At 32.6% G+C, this 19,701-nt stretch overlaps 1 protein-coding gene across 8 annotated transcripts in view, besides 1 other annotated feature; it reads right to left on the bottom strand.

Annotated features, from left to right (window-relative positions):
- Window positions 1–19,701, bottom strand: part of LRRIQ3 (leucine rich repeats and IQ motif containing 3) — a 172,162-nt gene that overhangs the window by 112,012 nt on the left and 40,449 nt on the right. For all 8 annotated transcript variants that reach the window (XR_007079570.1, NM_001322315.2, NM_001105659.2 and 5 more), the window contains exon 4: window positions 17,707–17,840. Coding sequence is in view for 7 of the 8 variants with exons in the window: in NM_001322315.2 (NP_001309244.1) it covers window positions 17,707–17,840 (134 nt within the window). In the remaining variant the exon portion in view is untranslated. The remainder of the gene's footprint in view (window positions 1–17,706; window positions 17,841–19,701) is intronic.
- Window positions 16,726–16,926: a silencer, noted in NCBI's record as "peak287 fragment used in MPRA reporter construct". NCBI's record gives its function as "represses an SCP1 promoter by STARR-seq MPRAs in K562 erythroleukemia cells {active_cell/tissue: K562}" and the evidence as "EXISTENCE:reporter gene assay evidence [ECO:0000049][PMID:32103011]".

Consider the following 19,701-nt stretch of genomic DNA (forward strand, 5'->3'; position numbering starts at 1 on the left):
CACGTGTATACCTGTATAACAAACCTGCATGTTCTGCACATGTATCCCAGAACTTAAAGTATAATTTTAAAAAAAAAGGAAGAAGAAAAGAAATAAATATCCTGGCTCTTTTGCTTCCTTTAAAAAAACAAACAAACAAAAAAAAAAAACAAAAAAACAAGGCCCTGACTTCATTTCATGGTAATGTGACCTGGATGTATGATTACAAGTATGGGGTAGAGGTCAGTACAGATAAGCATAAAGACCTTTAGCATTTTTCATTTTAAAGACGATCATGTTTATAGCCAAATCACAGCTCATAATTATCCCAGGTCACAAAAAGTCTATTTTCAGCTATTCCTTCTGAGTAAACTGGGGCCAAAATGCCCAGACTGTCTCCAAATATCCTTCAATCCATTACCAGACTTACATACTTACTTTTTGGTGTCCCATGGGCAGGGTCTGACCCAGAGTTCAGCTAGGCATGTCAAGTTGAATGTCTGTTGTCTCAATATGAGAAACAAAAGGAGAAAAACTGCAAGTGGAACTCTTCAGGAGAGTGAAATGGCCTTTGTTTAAACAAAAATCCTCTCTTATGGCTGCTTTCAAGAAAGCAGCCAGCGAAGACTGTATTTTGAAACAAGTGGATTGAGAAACTACATTTTTGGACTCAGAACATGTTGCAAGTTATACTTGTAATGGGAGTATTTTTCATTTTAAAGATGATCATGTTTATACTCAAATCACATTTCATAACTCCCAGGACTACATGGGCTCCAGGATGTAACTGGGTTACATATGAAATTCAATTATCTGTGATATATCTGTTCCTCTCCAAGCACCTTCCCTTCCTCTCCAATACAGCCCCCAGTCCACTTATCATAGAAAATAGGAGAGTGGCTGGGCGTGGTGGCTCATGCCTGTAATATGTCACTTTGGGAGGCCAACACTTGAGGCCAGGAGTTTGAGACCAGACCGAACAACATAACAAGACCCTGTCTCTACAAAAAATAAAGAAATAAAACACAAACACAAAAAATGTATTTATGTGTATATATATATATATACACATATATGTATGTGTGTGTGTATATATATATACATATATGTATGTGTGTGTGTATATATATATATACATGTGTGTGTGTATATATATACACACATACATAAATGTAAAATGTTAGGCTGTAAATGATGAAAATATGATGGCTTTGGGGAAATAAAATGTATAATTTGACTTCAAACTTTTCAGTGGAAAGAAGGAAGGGAGAAAGGAAGGAAGGAAGGAAGGAGGGAGGGAGGGAGGGAAGGAAAAAGCGAGAAGCTAGGAAGGGAAGTAGTGAGGACTGGCCGCTATCCATGCAATTGCATACACCAAAATTTTTAGTGTCATCCATCATATGCTTCTTTTTCTCACCATAACAACCACTACCCATTTGCTCACCAAATTCTCTAATCCTCTGTATTGTACCCATAAATACCTTTATCTGATCCCTACATCTATATTTTATTCCAGGCACTTATGACTCACCTAAACTATTTTAGTAACCTAGGATTGATGGCTTTAGTCTTCCCTCATTAAAACTTTTATTCCACATAACTGTAGAGTAACATCCCATGGCATCTCTTCTGTGCTTAAACACTTGTAATGGCTTGCCACTACTTATAACAAAGGATAACATTTCTTGATATAAATACTGACTATATAAAAATAAAAATATTAATGTCTTATTATAACCCATAGATAAAATTATAGTATATGACAAAATAGCATGAAAGTTGAAAAGGAGATATAATGAAAATAGAGTTCTAAAATTTTTATATGGTCAAGAAGAAGAGTAAAGGTACTAATTAAATGAAGATATATTAAAGTAAATAAGCATATTTTATTTGCTAGGATTACTGATTCTTCAAAATTGGAAATATAGAGTGTATCTTCCAAAACAGTAGAGGGGGAAAACATACAACAATAAAAACTAAATTCCAAAGAAGGCAGGAAATATGAGGGAGAAAATTTACAGAACAGGAGAGAAAAGCAAAAAGCAAAAATAACACAATGTATTTAATACCCCAAACATCAGGAATAACATTTAATGTAAATAGTCCAAATATGATAGTTAATATAAAAATTGTCAGACTGGGTTTAAAAAATCAAACTCTGTTATTTATGAGCTAGATAGACAGATAAAGATAAATATACAGAAATATTATAACCAAATGGATAGAAAATAAATATGCAAAAACTAAATACAAAACAAGCCAGTGTAAATACATCTGATAAAGTAAACTTTAAGCCATAAAGATTACTAGATGAATTGAGAGTCATTTCATAAAGATAAAAGGTTCAATTGACTGATTGACATAATGATTTTTAATTTTTATGCAACTAATAACATAGTTCAAAATATGCAAAACAAAATTTGACCTAACTATAATGAAATAATAATAATACATCTACAATCACAGTGAGAGATGTAAGTTCACTTCTCCCAGTGACTGAGAAAACTAGTAATCCCAAAATTAATAAGGAATAGAATAGTTGAACACCACCTAACCAGTGACCTAATAGAAACACAAAAAATATCTTAGCCAATAACTATAGAGGACACTTTTTTTAAGCACACGTGAAAAGCGTGGGCCATATGCAAATCTCAATGAAATTCAAAGTCAAAGGACTGAAATCATATAGGACAGGATTTCCTACTGCAAGGAAATTAAGCTTGTTTCCCCTGCCCTAAGATATATTCACACCAAATAAGTTATTATCATATCAATGTGAAATGTCCTTCCCTACCTCAATAACTTTACACATCCTACAGTTTGACTAGAATTAAACCCTTTACAACTAATCCCACTCTTCTGGCACCACATCCCTTCCAATATAAAAACATACATACATTCCATACTTGATGAAATTTTTAAATTTTTGAAAAAATTCATGTAATATAAGGTCTATGAAGTCTTTCTTGACAACCTCACCCAATCAGAATTAATTGTATACCCACAAAGTTGGCTGAATATTTGTCTACTGTAATATTTATCATAGTAGATAAAATACTGTGTTTGTTTGTCTGTATAATTGAACTATTATCTTCTTATGATTAGGAATCATAATTTGCGTCTTTTTACATTCTCAACACCTAAAACACCTAAAGCACTTAAGACACAGCAGGCAACTAATATGCTAACATCATGGAACTAGGTTTTCTTTGGCTGCCAAGATATTCTTGTTGTCTATTCTGATTTATATCTCCAATAGTAAATTTTAAAAAATATACTTCAGTTTCTTAATAGTACATGATAGATTATCAATTCAAAATACAAATAAGCTGATGATTCTAAAAATAAGCATGGATAGATGGCAATGTTGCATCTATAAAACACGGTTTGAGCTAATATTTTACACAAAAGTATAACTATGGCTTTTTCAAGAAAAAAAAATCAGTTTGCCTGTATTGCCACAAAAACAGTAGCTAGAAAATATGGACAGATATATTGTTTGAATTGTTTCTAAAAATTTTAAAATTTCTAAATGTTTTGAACACACCAATGTAGACATTAGCTTATTCAATAATTATTTATTAAGATCTGGTATTTTTAAGATGCAGATAATTTAACTCAATACTTTTTATTTCTAAATATGTATTAGATACGTATTTTGTTTGATAAAAAATGTTCTGATTTTTACAACAATTTTATGTCACTTTTATCCAAAATTATGAGTTATATAAAACTAAGAAAAAAACACAAACAATATTATTTTGGTAAAATATTGGGCTCATTTTGTTGCTTCATGAAAAATTTTCCTAGTCCACTTTTGTTTTCCACTATTAAAAGATAACTGGAGTATCAACTGAAAAGCAGTTTCATAATTTAATCCTGGAGAGATTAAACTGAGTTACCACTTCTTCCCCTAAAGAATTCTCATTATTTTTAAAGGTGCTGAATAATATTATTCTGAATAATATTCCATTTATACACACACACACACACACACACACATATTACACAAACATATATAACAATTTATCTGTTTATTCCTTGATGGACATTTGCATTGATTCTGTATCTTGGCTATTGTGAATAATGTTGCAATGAACGTGAGAGTGCAGGTATCTTTACAAGTTGGTGATTTCATTTCCTTTGAATTCGAAAGACTGGGGTTGAATTGTTGCATCATATGGTAGTACTATTTTAAGTTACTTTAGGAACCTCCATATTTTTCCCACAGTAGCTGTACCAGTCTCTATTCACACTCATAGTATCGCCAGTACTTCCACTTTACTAAAAATACTGCTTCTCAAATTATTAATTATCCCATCAAATGAGATAATGAAATCCACATACTACTCAGGAATTGTTAAAGCTTCAATTTTAGCATATTCTCCTCCTAATAGTGTTTACCTACTTTCCCAAAGCAGAGTTAATCACACCACACCCAGTCCACTTCAACCAAGGAAATACTACATTGTAATGTGACTTTCTGACTTTGCAAATTAGGTGGCCAAACCATTCTTCGAGTAGGTAGCCAAAGCCTATGTAAAGGTAACAGATATAAGGCTGACTGTTAAAGTAGCTTAAATTTCAGTGTCATATATTATATACAATTTCACATGAATTTTGTATTTTTAAAGGGTACTTATTCCTGGAATGGCCACAAATGCTTGCTTAAAAGAGTCAGGGGTATATTCATCTGAACCCATAAAGAAGCAGACAGAGGCGATCATGCTGTTACATCTTGAATCATTAGGGCATGCGTCAAGGCCATGCCACTTATTTTTGCAGCTCCTGAAACTTGCTGATGGATGTACTATTCTTGCCTTAAGTGCAGGAAGACCCACAGATTATTGGAATGAGCCCACCCATCTTTTTATGACTCCAGTCTTCCAGTAAGTCTAATGAGGACAAGAAGATAGCAATAAAGCTGTCTTGTATGTGTATCTATGTAGAAGCCCATTCATTTTGAAAGAAAGCAAACACACAAAATATTCTGCTCCTAGTACCACTTCTGAAAAATGGAAAACTGCTTTCTAATAAGACTAATATAAACATCTATTTTTTATTCTGAGTTTCAAATGAGTCAAAATATTTTGCAAAGTATTAGTGCAATTAAAATTATTTGAAGTGAACTTCAAATAAAATAAAGAAACAATTCAGTCCAATTCTGACAACTTCAGCAGAGTCATTATTCAACTGGGTAAGATGAACGGGAGACACTATTTTATGGATAATATTTAATTATGAAAATTGTTTACCCAGTCATAAAATGTTATTGATTCTTTAATAGTATTTTAATAAAGATAGTTTTTGGTTGACAAATAGTAGAAGAAAGCACATCTGTGTTCCAAGATAGCATTGAAAGAAGTAAGGTAAATTTTGAAGATGCAAAATTTAAATAGTATTGCCTTGAATCTGTACTTTGTCGTAACAGATGGTCAACAATCCCTACCATATGCAAAGCTAGACAATATTTTAAATCATTGTATATATCCAGGAAATTCACTGTATGAAACATTTTTCACGCAAATGTTGGCATACATTTATTATTTAAAATATAATTTTCTTTAAGAAACTTGTGCTACTGGTATCTTCAATATACCTAACTTTTAAGGTAGGAATTAACCTAATCTTCATTATACATAAGTAATATAATCATTGTTGAACACACTCAGCATTCAGAATTACATAATTTACTATAACAAATTATAATAATCTTTTATATATTATATATTACAACTTTTTATCTCATAATTCCAAAATGAAGTCTCAAAACCCAGGTAGCTAAGGTAACTACTCTTGGCATATTAGATGTATTACTAAAAAGTTGCATATAATGCTTTCACATTAACAAATTATATTAAGTACATTATAAATGTTTTATACTTAAATCTTTAAGGTGAGTAATTTTAAATGAGACTAATCATTTCCTGATTCATATAAGTTGTGATAATGCTATTTTGAGTATTATAATAATTTATATTCCTTTAAGAACTAGTGAAGCATTAACGATGTACATTTAAAATGCATAAATAGATGTTGGTGTTTAAAGTTTTGACCTCAGAATCAACTATGATCCATTTATTCTTTACCTATTTGGGCACCTTTCAGTTAGTAGCTCTTGTTTTTTCTCTTTTCTCCTTAACAAAGTGCCCTTAAATTTGAAAGACAAATTAGCTAACTTCCTAGTCCTGACCTTTGGTCTAATTTCCTAGATTATAATCAGTGTCCCTTCATTTGACAAGGAGTCTTATTTGCAACCATATTTGGCATAATCCCAGGATATCCACATATCAAATACTCCCCAAGTAATCAACAATGCAGATTTCTAAGTTAGTTATCATATAGAAACCTAATCTAGAACAAATTTCTGTAGTCCAGTTTAACATGAAACATTTCTTTATTTTCAATAGATTTTATATTTCAAGGAAACTAGATTAATATTTTTCTATCAACTTAAAAATTAGAAAAAAAATGTTTTTTTTTTCTCGCTTTCTTGGACACATCTTCAAGCAATCCTTAAATTCAGAGGACTGTAACAGTCTGTAAAAAAAAAAAAAAAAAAAGCAGCAAAAAAAACCATTTACCAAATTATCTCCATTGTATCTTCTGTAGCAGTCAGGGTTAACAAACTTTTTCTATATAAAGCTAATTAGTAAATATGTAGGCGCTGGAGTGTACATATGTTCTATTGCATATTTTTCTTTTTTTTCTAACAATCCTTTTAAGTTATAAAAACCATTATTCCTTCTGCACAGGCTATATCAGATTTTTCCTGCGGACTATAGTTTCCCAACCTTATATCTATATTTTATCCTAATTCATACATGTATGTGTACACACACACACACACACACATTTTTCTCCCATATGGCCTTAGAAATTTTTGAGGAAAAATGAAAAATAAATGCACATACACACATATACATATACAATTTTAAATTAAATTTAAAATATTTTTACCTACAGAAATATTATAGAGACCCCAGATCAATCTTGCTTATTATGATAATATGATCTATGCATACAAAAATAGATTAATGTACATTTAGTAGAGGTATACAACACCTGAAAATCCTTCCATTTTGGGTACCTCTACTAATGTTGTTATCACTAGCGTATGAATGACTTAAGAAAACAAATTCCATTTTCCATTTTCCTAAGAGCTAAGGCCACAGTCATATGACTTAGCTTAACCAATTCGGTGCTTTTTCCCTGGATTTTTACTTGTCAGGGACAATCCAAATGCACAAGGACAACAAAAGGGTATTCATGACAGCTGCAACAGAATAATGGGGAGACAAGTAGCCAATAGTAACAGTAAACTAGGAATGCTCTCTGGTGGAGTTGGCTCTGCCATGCTTCTCACTGCTGTTCCTTTTCCAAAGCCAGTTACTCTGTCTTCCTGAATTTTTCGTGAGCTTCCTGAAAAACCTCTAACAAATTCTATTATTGTCTAAGTCATTTACAGTTAGCTTCCGCTGTTTGCAAGTAAGAACTCTAGATACTACACAATCTAATCTTCTAAATTTTATGTGAGAAGGATTTAAAAAATTACTTGCTTTAATCAATTATGAAAGAAATAACTCATTAACTACTCATCAACAAAATAATCAGAAAAACATCACAAGTATACTAGGCCTACAATCCAAATTTGAAAAGAATTTTGTAAAATATTCCACCACTAAAATATAATGAATTACTAATTTTTTTCTTAATTATATTTGTATTAAGTATTTAAATGTAGTATTTTCTCTTCTTTTTATCTAGTTTTAAAAATAAATCCTCAATTTTCTCTATCATATCTATGAAGTAATTATATTTACCTCACAGAACTGCTGTGAGGATCAAATGAGTTAATAAAGACAAGTGTACATTTAAAATTTCCAGCAAAGTATACAGTTATATGCCATATAATGATGTTCCAGTCAATGACAAACTGCATATACACTGGTGGTCCCCATGAAATTATACTACCGTACTTTTACTCTCTTTTCTATATTTAGATACACAAATATTTATCATTATCTTACAATTGCCTATAAAATTTAGTATAGTAATATGCTGTACAGATTTGTGGCCTAGGCTACAAATACGCTATACCACCTAAGTTTGTCTAAGTGTAGTAGGCTATATAACCTAAGTTTGTCAAAGTACTCTCTATGGGTTCACACAATGACAAAATCACCTAACAACATGTTTCTCAGAATGCATCCTTGTCATTAAGCAATGCATGACTGTATTTCAGCAAAAATAATCTATTAGGAATAAAATAATTATGTTATTTATAATGTAAAATCATATACAATGTTAGTGTACCATTATATATGTTCCATGATATGCCACTATATATGTGAAAATAGTAATTCTATTAAAATATAAACTCCACAAAGGCAGTGAATTTAAATGTTTTGTCTGCTGTTGTGTCTTCAGGACCCAGAAAGGGCCTAACTTATGGTAGGCACTCAATAAATACTTGTAGAATGAACTGATCGATAAAAATTAATAATTATATCATGCCTATAAGGCAGGTAGTGCACATTTGTATATAATTTCATAACTTTGCTATGAAAATTTTATTAAGAAATAATATTTCCCAAGATCTAGCAAGTGCTAGCAGAATAATACAAATTATTTTATTTTATTTTATTTGGTTATGATCCATGAAATATGGGCCTGAGTCCTGTGTCTATAACTTACAAGTTTTGAAACCTCAGGCAAGTTATTTGGGATTGTTTATAGGATCAAATGAGGTAAATTACATAAAATGTCTGGCACACAGTGCCAAGCCAGAACTTGAATAAATTATCTGATGATTCTAATCCACTGTCAACTTTGAATAACACCAAAAAATTCACAGTAAGTAGGATAGTTGATTAGACCTAAATAGTTAATATTGTTTTATAATAAATAAAATAGTCTTTATAAGAGTTCCCTATGATTGGTCAGCCAAGGCGGCTCATACTTGTAATCCCAGCACTTTAGGAGGACAAGGCAGGCAGATTGCTTGAGCCCAGGAGTTGGAGACCAGCCTGGGCAACATTGCGAAACTCCATCTCTATAAAAAATACAAAAATGAGCCAGGCATGGCAACGCGTGCCTGTGGTCCCAGCCACTCAGGAGGCTGAGGTAGAAGAATCGCTTGAGCCCAGGAAGGTGGAGGTTGCAGTGAGCTTAGATAACACCACTGCAGTCCATCCTGGACTACAGGTAAGACTCTGCATCAAAAGAAAAGAATTGCCTACGAACAAGAAAAATTAAAAAGCAAATTTAATTTGGTACACTTAATCTCTAAAATTTTCTAGGCAACAAGAACATTCTAAAAAAACTCCATATGAAATAAATAAATTTTTCTCTTTTTATCTACTCTTTTGCTTTGGTCAACCATGAAAGATTCTAACTCATGATAAATAAAAACATTTTAAGGTATTTTTCAAACCCAATTAATTTGATGTTTGATAACATAGGTTGCTACCCTGACAATCATAGTAGAGAATAATGATTTTATGTCAAAATGCTAATCATTTCAGAAGAGCTTTCCAATATCAACCCAATGTCCATAAAATAAAGTGAAAGTGTCAGAAATATTAAAAATTTAATTTAAAAGGCATGTATTATTGATAAAAACATGTTTTGGATACAGTTTTAACTGTTAGTCTGAGGGGGATTTCCTTATATGTGACTTGAGGCCTTTCTCTTGCTGTCTCTATCATTCTCTCTGCTTTTGTCTTTTGTCAGTTTAACTATAACATGCCATTGAGACGACCTTTTGGGGTTGAATCTTTTTGAGGACTTTTAAGCTTTCTGTATGTGGGTCTATATGTTTTGCAAGACTTAAGATGTTTTCAGCTATTATTTCATTAAATAGGTTTTCTTCATCTTTGTCCATCTCTTCTCCTTCTGGGTCTTTCAAAATGTGAGAATTTGGTCACTTTAAATTTCTCATTCAACAAGTCATGAATTGCTTTTCTGATATCTTTGTATTGTTTAACTGTGTTCCTTTATATCTCATTGAGTTCCTTTAAAATCATTAAAAAAATTTTTCAGCCATTTCAAATATATTTTTTCCTTTGGAATCTGTTTATAGAGATTTATTGTTTCTTTGGAGGCATTATGTTTCCTGCTTTTTCATGTTTCTTGTGTCCTTACATTGACATCTGTACATCTGGTGTTAACAGTTGCTTTTTCCAAATTTTGTAGGGAAGTACTTTTTGTTATAGATGCATCTACAGTGTTGGTTGGATAGGATGCTTTGACTTTGAATCTGGTGGGTGTAGTGGAGTAGTCTCAGTATAATTTATTTGACCATAATTAGCATCAGAAGTATCTGTGAGTTCTTCAGTGCCTGAGGCTGCAGTTGCTGGTAGAGGCTGTAGCAAGACTTTGCTGGTGACAGAGACACCAGTCAGGCCAGTCCTCAGTCACCAGTTGTGGCAGTGGTGGGCTAGACATGCTGGTCCTTAGGCCTCCACATGGCATACATGGGTGGCAGTAGTTATGGTTGTGGTTAGGCCAGTCCTTGGGCCTCAAGGATGTTGTAATTATAAAAGAAACAGATAAAGAGATGCATAGGGTGTGTTGTGGGGGAAGAAGCATGGAGCTTTCCTTGAGGAACCTTCACTTGTTCAGTTATTCAGTGAAAATTCTGTTTTTAAAGTACTCGTGAGATAACGTTAGATCCATCTAGATAATCTCTCCTAAGGTCAACTGATTAGTAAGTCATTTTAATTACATCTGCATAATATCATTTGTCCTGCAACATAACATGACCATGCGAGTAACACCAGGGAACAAAAGCCATGTGGGTCACCTAGGAATTCTGTCTACCACATGTGAGAAGAGATTAAATAAGATCAAATCTTTGTTACCTTGAAACCATGCCAAGTGAGGACACAATTGGCTTATAATAGGCACACATTTTAGTCAACATGGTTCCAGGCAAAAGGGAGGAATGCCCATGGTGTTATTTTCCTCTTTTAGTCGGTTAATATAAGTGATTTTCTAATGTTAAATTAACCTTGTATTCCTGGAATAAATTATATGGTTATAAGGTATTATTTTTTCTATATCATTGGATCTAATTTTCTAATATTGTATTCATGATTTTTACATCTGTATTCATGACACTGACCTGAAATTTTCTTTCTTGTAACGTCTTTGTAAGATTTTGATATTAAGGTTTTGTTGATCTCTCAAAATAATATGTAAAGTGTTTTCTTTTACTCTCTGGGAAATTTACGTAAGATGGCATTATATTTTCCTTACATGTATAGAATCATGCATCAGTAAATTCATCCAGGCTCAATGTCTCTTTGTGAAAAGCACTTCAAGAATGTGTTCAATTTTTTAATGTATGTACAACTATTTAGTATTTTTATTTCTTCCTTTGTCAGCTTGAAAATTGTGTTTCTTCACAGAATTTTTTCATATCACATAAAAAATTGTAATTTTTGATATAAAGTTGTTCTTATTCTCTTTCATATCTGTAGACTTACAGCAATGTGCCTTTTTAAATTCTTTACGTTGGTAATTACTCTTTGCTTTATCAGTCTTGCTGGAGTACTACCAATTTCTCTCCACAAATAATGAATTCTTAAATATATTAATTTTTTCATGTGCATTTTCTCATGTTTATTGTATATTTGTATTCCATTTCATTCATTTCTGATACTACTTTTCTTATTCCCCTTTACTCTGTTTGGGTATAACTTCTGCTATTTTTCTATCTTCATGAGACAGATGCTTAGATTCTTGATATTCTAGCCTCTCTCTTTTGTTCATACATGCATTTGTAGCTGCTAGGCAATAGTTATTATTTTGTCTTTTGCTTTCAAATATTCTGTGGCAAAAACTGCCACTCAATTCCAATTCTCTTTTTAATCCTTAAAACAGTAGCCAAATTTCATACAGGTGACAAAGTGATCAGATAAAAGACCCTATTTCTTAGCTGCCAGTGTACCCATACAACTAAATTCTGGCCAAGGAAATGTAGGAAAGGGGAATTCTGGCTAACGAAATGTAGGAAAAGAGAAATGCAGTATATCCGGTAAGGGTGATTAAAATTGCTGTTATAATCAGGAGATGTGCCCCTTTCTGCCATTCAGTATTGCCTGTCTTCCAGCATAAAATCAGATGTAAAGATTGGAACTCTGGCAGCCATTTTGACCATAAATGACCTTGAAGATAAAACACACAAATTAGAAAGGTAGATTGAAAAGTTAGAGGAAGGTTGGATCCTTGATTTTGTGCAGTATCACAGGCCTGGACTTCTTGAACCACAGACTCTTCTCACATAAAAAACAAAACTTCTGCCTAGTTTAAGCCAAGATATTGGGGATCCCTCTTACATAGAACTGAATTGAATAAGTAAAACATACAAATATATTATTTCTTCTTTTTTTAATTATCAAATTTACTAAAGCTTCAGGAAATTGTAATATATAGTGATGATTATGGGCCTCCTTATCTTGCTCCCCATTGGATAAGATAACGTACTATTTTGCTATTATTTTCCAATATGTATATTAATGTATTTTAATCATATTTACTGGAAAATGCAGTCTAAGTATCTTAGACTTTTCTCGCTTCTGCTAAAACCTAGTTTATTATAGCCCTAGCATTTAGATGGTTCCTACATTAACATTACCTGCAAAAAGAAATTTGCAACCATACAATCAGACAATCAGAGTTAAACATTTTTCCTGGAAAATAAGCTGAAATTTGTCTTTCTAAAACTTTCACTCACTATACCTGATTCTTTTATCTATTTTACTTACAGAAAATATTCAACAATTTGAGGTCAACTATTTGAATTGCCTTAAATTTACTCTTCTGATACTTATATATCCAAGTTCCCCTAATCATACCTCTCATGATATGACTACAGGATATTTCATTTCTCTCCACCTTATATGTTTTAAGAAATAAATATTTATTTAATAAATATCACCTAAAATGTGAAAGTCACAGAAATTTAGTTTGCCAGAAATAGTTATTGAATGATGCTTTCTTTTTTTTTTTTTTTTTTTTTTTTTTAGATGGAGTCTTGCTCTGTCACCAGGCTGGAGTGCAGTGGCGCGATCTCGGCTCACTACAACCTCCGCCTCCTGGGTTCAAGCAATTCTCCTGCCTCAGCCTCCTGAGTAGCTGGGACAACAGGTATGCACCACCATGCTCAGCTAATTTTTGTATTTTTAGTAGAGACGGGGTTTCACCATGTTGGCCAGAATGCTCTCGATCTCTTGACCTCGTGATCTGCCCACCTCAGCCTGAATGATGCTTTTAACATGTAAACACTACTTTTTAAAGGCACTGTGGGATAATAGTTATGGCAGTGACATAGTTTTCTAATTTCTCCAGATTCCTTCATAGAAACAAACATAACAACTAGAAGGCAAATTTTTTTAAATATCTACAACAGTACTATGTGACAAGGTATCCTCGGGAAATCTAAAATGTGAATGAATGGGGAAAAATCATAGACAATTGTAAGCCCACTGCTGTGTTAGCAATTATTCAGGAGGAAACAGACAAAAGTAATGAGGCATTTGATGGATAGAAACAAAACAAATAGAACAGAAGCTAAATCCGGGGTGGGGGGGATGGGCATTAGTGTGTGAATACAATAAATAAAAAGTCTATGGTAAGATCTAAAGGATCTGAAGCATTCCGGGACTCTAAACCCCCAAAACTAACCAGCCAAAACTCTCTTACAGGTCAAAGCCCAAAGTGAGGAGAATTTCCTGGGAAAATAATAGTAATTGAGTGGCAGAGAAAAACAGTGAAAAGAGAGAGCAAAATATCCACATTAACAGGGAGGTAATAGAAACCACAGTCAGAGACAGCAGAAAGAGAACCACGATACTGTGGATGCTACACAAACACAATAGGAGTAGTTTTAAATACTAAAATAAGAAAAGCTTTTTCTTAAAGTTCAGAAAAACTAATTTTATAGAAACAGCAATGCAGAAAAATCACTATCTCGTTCTTTACAGAATTATAATAAGAAGAAAGTAAAGAGCATAACAATATCATTGTAGACAATGGAAGCAGGCCAGAAAGTGAACCTTATAAAAAATAAAAATAAAATTACACCTATTATTTCAAAATGAACAAAAAGATAGCAAGAAAATTATATAAGACATGTAAGAGAAAATTTAGAAATGCAGTGATAGAAATGAGAAAAAAATCAGTATTTAAAAACTAATTTTATATATAAAGACTAAACCAGAAGGATTATAATTATAAATGAAAACAACAAAAAATTTCCTAAGTGAAATAGACTAAAATAAGGAATATTTTTAAAATTAAAAAGAAAATCAGTAGAAAAAGAACTACCATCACTATGATAAATGAATATGAGTAACTATTCAACAAACTATTTCAACAATATATCTCCAGTCTAATCATTAAAAAAATCCTGCAACAAATCTTGAATTGTATTAAATACATTGTTGATAGTAGTGTGTAGTAGTGACTATGAAACTATTTTGTGTATATTGTAGGATTAAGCTAATGAGTAAAATTAATAATGTTGGCAACCAAAATTCAAAGGGAAATATAATGTTGAATGAAAGCAGTGAATAACCCTCTGTGTTGGATTAACATTTGGGGTGTTAACATGAAATTATGATGGAAAGAATAATCCATATTCTGTCTGCTAAAATGAGCTAGGAATAATGACACCCCAATAGCAATGAATACATCTAGTTTCTAGATCTTACTTTCCAAATACCATTCCTTACTGAAAGGACTAGAGCTGTTTGGAAAAGCTGACTTCAGGGGTGTTGTTAGAAAAGTAAAAGGAGCATGGAATTTGGAATGTGTTAATACCGGAACCTGATATTTATTTACATGCGGTTTCATCTCTTCATAACTGACCACAAATGACCAACACAAAATGGCTTTCTAATATTGATTCATATATTAGCCTCCCCACCAAGTTTAAACTCTTAATGTTTCATCTGTAAAACAGAAAATACAGAAAGACTCAAAAGCTCTGTTTTATTAAATAATATAATGGATTAATGTACCTAACATGGTGCTTTACATATATTGCACATTCAATAAATTTTGTTTCCTATATTTTTTCCATTCTTTTTCCTTTTTTACAACCCATCAAGACAACCAATAATCCTCCCCATGATCTCAGTATAGCTGCCTTTACGTAGGTTTAGGAGGCTATCAATCTAATTACAACATTTCATTCTAAGAATAAAAGTATACTTTCCTTATATTGTATCACCCGTACTAGAAATACTACCACTCTAAAAGATAATAGCATTAATCATAATAATTTTATAAATTTTGGCCATATATATTTCAAGTACTTAAAGTTAAAAATTTCAAAGTACAAAATATTTGGGTGTGAGGAGACATTTCTCATGCCTAGAAATAGAGACACAAGAAGACTAATCACTCGGACCCTAGGTTGTGGGAATCTATAGTTGCCTCTCAGGGGAGCTCTTCATATTTCCTAATTCTTACTTTCACCTTTCCATGCATGAATCCAGATCTGATTTCAGCTCCCACTGTCTCTCCATTTGTTGATGTATTAATCAATTCAGAAAGTATTTTTGAGCACCTAACATGTGTCAGGCATTCTGTTACATATTAAAGATACAGAGTGGAAAACAGAGATACAGTCTCATAGAGTTTATAGTAAATCTGGAGATATAGGTAACTATAGAGACGACTATAATACGGTATGGTAAGAGCTTGTGATAATAAAAGTATGTGAAACACATCAAAGAGGCAATATCCCAAACATTTGTCCTAAACAAATAGAAAGCCACTGGAGGACTTTAACTTGGTGAATAAAATGATTAAATTTGTATTTTTGAAAGATTACTGTCTGCATGCTGGAAGGGAGCAAGAAATCCAAGGAAAATTTCCCATGGGGCCAAATAACACAGAGAGCACTAAATATAACAACAACAATGATAATTAAATTTTTAAGGCTGGGCGCGGTAGTTCACGCTTGTAATCCCAGCACTTTGGGGGGCCGAGGTGTGCGGATCACGAGGTCAGGAGATTGAGACCATCCTGGCTAACACGGTGGAACCCCGTCTCTACTAAAAATATAAAAAATTAGCCGGGCGTGGCGGCGGGTGCCTGTAGTCCCAGCTACTGGGGAGGCTGAGGCAGGAGAATGGCGTGAACCCGGAAGTCAGAGGTTGCAGCGAGCCGAGATCGCGCCACTGCACTGCAGCCTGGGCGACAGAGCGAGACTCCTTCTCAAAAAAAAAAAAAAAAAAAAAAAAAAAAAAAAAAAAAAATGTAATATCTACTTTTGTCAGGTGCTAAGAGCATTATATTGATCATCTCAATTCCCACAAATAGAAATAAGTACTTTTTTTATCCCCTGTTCTTTACAATTTTACAGATAAAGAAATTCAAGCCCAGCATAGATAAGTAATGTAACTAATGGAACAGAGCTTTAAAGAGAGAGAAAATACAAATCATCTTGTCTTGAACCCTGCCATATATTATTACTGAAATCTCTTCCTGCAAAACTCTCTATTCATACATGCTTAGTTTTTAAAGATTGTTCCCATGAACAAAGTTTTTATCTCATGTTACATGAGCGTCAGTGAGAACCTTCATTCTACCAGAGAAAAAAATCCCTGGGAAATAACCTAAAAACAAGACCCTTTAATTAGATCTGTATTTAATATAAAAAGCACATTAAATTCCAATGCAAAATAAAGACAGAATTAATATTTTAAATAAGTATGCACTTTTCAGCAACTGCCTGATTGATTCTTTTGCACCTCCTTTACTCAGGTAATTTGACTTGTCTCCAATGTGAGATTATGTTCTCTCATATTTTGACCTCAGTGTGGAAAATTATGTGGAACCACTTCCTCAGAAGTCGGAGGCACTGTATTTATGGTCAGTTTCACTACTTATTCCTCATACTTGTTTCTCTTTATCAGGACTATTGCCACCTATGATTTAGCATATATTGGCTTGTGCTGGAAGGCATTACATCTCATTGTGTCTATCTTACCACAGAATGTTGAATCTCATTTCAGTGAAACTTCCTAATCTTGCTTTATCAACAAATGTCTGTTTTCTTATTCCAGATCTACGTCAATCCTATCTATATTTCAGGGCCAAATTTCATTTCTATCTTCTGAACTTTACCAATTAGAATAAGCTATATGAATATTTTCATTTAGTTTTTCATATGTTTGACATTTGGTATGACCAATACTATAAATTGATGACAGAGTATCCTATCATATCTCTGCAAGTACAATGTTGAGAAATTCTAGCAAAAAGGTTTCCATTTATTTGCAAAGCTTAGCTACTGCAAAGGAATGCAAGGAACAAGAAAAGAGGAAAAGACAACTAAATAAAGGACAATATAGATTGACGTGGTAGCAGATGTGACAGCAAAATTGTATTCGCATCTAAATAAAATATAAAATCTTCCATGTATGTTCCATGTTTTATATTCTATTGTATCCCATTATATAATCCATGGCTTACATTTGTATTTATATGGTAAGTTGAAAAGAAAAAATAAAATATCAAATGTTGATTATGTTAAATATTATATTACTATAGAGTCTGTGGTATTTTTCTTAAAGTTAGGTTAAACAGACTATACCATTTTAATGATAGAGAATACAAAAATGCAAATTATTGGAGAATTGACTTCTTATCATTTATTTCTTCACCTTCTTATTTCAATATTCAAATGGTAAAGAAAACAAAACATACCTCAAATTTTTTCTAACTAAGAAACCACGTATCCATCTTTGAACAATCAAAACTGGTGAATTATGAGCCAGAATTGCATTAATTTTTGAAGTAATATGTTTAATATTATTAATTTCCTCTTCATAGGTTGTTCCCTGTATAAAGAAAATATAATTAATAATTTTTATCTTTCATGAAAGTATTTTCAAAAGATATTTTAAATTTGGTAATCTATTGGTTTAAATAAACTAACAAAATGTTCACAAGGTCTTACAGGCATTATAGTTAAATTATGATATGGTTGGATGTTTGTGCCCTCCAAATCTTATGTTGAAATGCAATCCCCAATGTTAGAGATAGGGGCTTGTGGGAGGTATTGGATCATGGGGGCTGTTCCCTCCTGAATGGCTTAGTGTCATCCCTTTGATGATGAGTGAACTTCTTGCTCATATAGTTCACATGAGATCTGGTTGTGGGACCACCCCTTCTGTCTCCTGCTCCCTCTCTCACCATGTGACTTGCCTGCCTCCCATTCACCTTCCACCATGATTGTAGGTTTCCTGAGGCCCTTACCAGAAACAGATGCCAGCACCATACTTCCTATATACCCTATAGAAACATGAGCCAAAATAAACCTCTTTTCTTTATAAATTACCCAGCCTCAGGTATTTCTTTATAGCAATGAAACTGAGTAATAAAAATAATAAATACATTTTTATTATTAGAGTAAAAGAACAATAATTAGTAGCATCAAGTAATTTCAATTCTCTACACAAAACATAAGATTCTTGATGATAACTTTTTCCATTAAAGATTATTTTCCCAATCTGATAATATATGTATAAAATTTTAACCATAATCATTCTGCTCTCTAAATGGTAGTGGCACAAACAGGTGTCCAATGAAACTGCAAATACTCTGTCAGCCCCCATAAATAAAATTGATATACTTTGATTCATAAAATAATGTATAGTAGTTAAAAATTTTGTTGTAGCTTAACTAGAATGTTGGACACTTTTATTGGAACACAGCAAATTATCTTGGAAAAGATCCTGTATTGGCTTTGAGAAAGATCTCCTTTCCTGAAAATTTTTAGATTTGAGATCGTAGGCTCAGTATATTTCATTGACAACTTGACTGGTTAGAAATAAGGTCACTGTTTATGTTTTGAATGTAAGATAATGCATTAAAAATACTGACAATTGCATTGTTCATGAAGCACCTCTTCTGAAAATTATCAACCCTATTACACTTAAAACATACACCTTTTCTGCATATACACTCAATAAAAAAGTTTACAGGAAACAAAAAAAAAATCACAACACCTTGCAGATTAGTGCCGCTTCCGATTTATACTTTCAAACACTCATTGCTAATTATAAACTTATTTCCTTGGCTCTGTCTTTATTCTATTCCCAACATTAGCTACTGAAAACCTTTGACACTATTCGATACTCTTCCAGTCCATTCCCTGGAGCTTCCTAAACACTCTGCTTCTTTTTTCACAGAGAAACTAGAGCCATCAAGTCTGAACTCCATCAATTAACTCCCCTCCATTCTCTGTAAATTTAACTATATTCCTATCTATACTGAGTAGAAGTGCCTTCTACTCAAACTTAAAACAAGAAGTAACTCTTTTTTTGTCTAAGATTGGCACTCTATTATGAGTCTCATATCTGTTTTCTAAGGCTCTCCCTCTGCTAGCACTATCTGTTCATATATAAAGATGATATAACTTTACCTATCCTTAAATCCTAACTCTCAATCCTTTATATCTAACTTTCATTAAGAGCCCAAAATCTAGAAACAGAATTCCATGTTTGTTTCTCCCACTTTCTTTTTTTTTGTTTTGTTTTTCTATCTCTCATTCCACTGGCTTCTATCCCTATCATCCAAGGGCACTTTTTTAGAGTTAACATTGGACATTCCCTCCTTGAAACACTTGCCTTAGATTCTGTACTACACTTCTTTCAGTTTTCCTCTAAATCTTGTTTACTTCTGCACTTTAAAAAAAAC

This window comes from Homo sapiens, chromosome 1 (assembly GCF_000001405.40).
Source record: "Homo sapiens chromosome 1, GRCh38.p14 Primary Assembly".
Classification (NCBI taxonomy): Eukaryota; Metazoa; Chordata; class Mammalia; order Primates; family Hominidae; genus Homo; species Homo sapiens.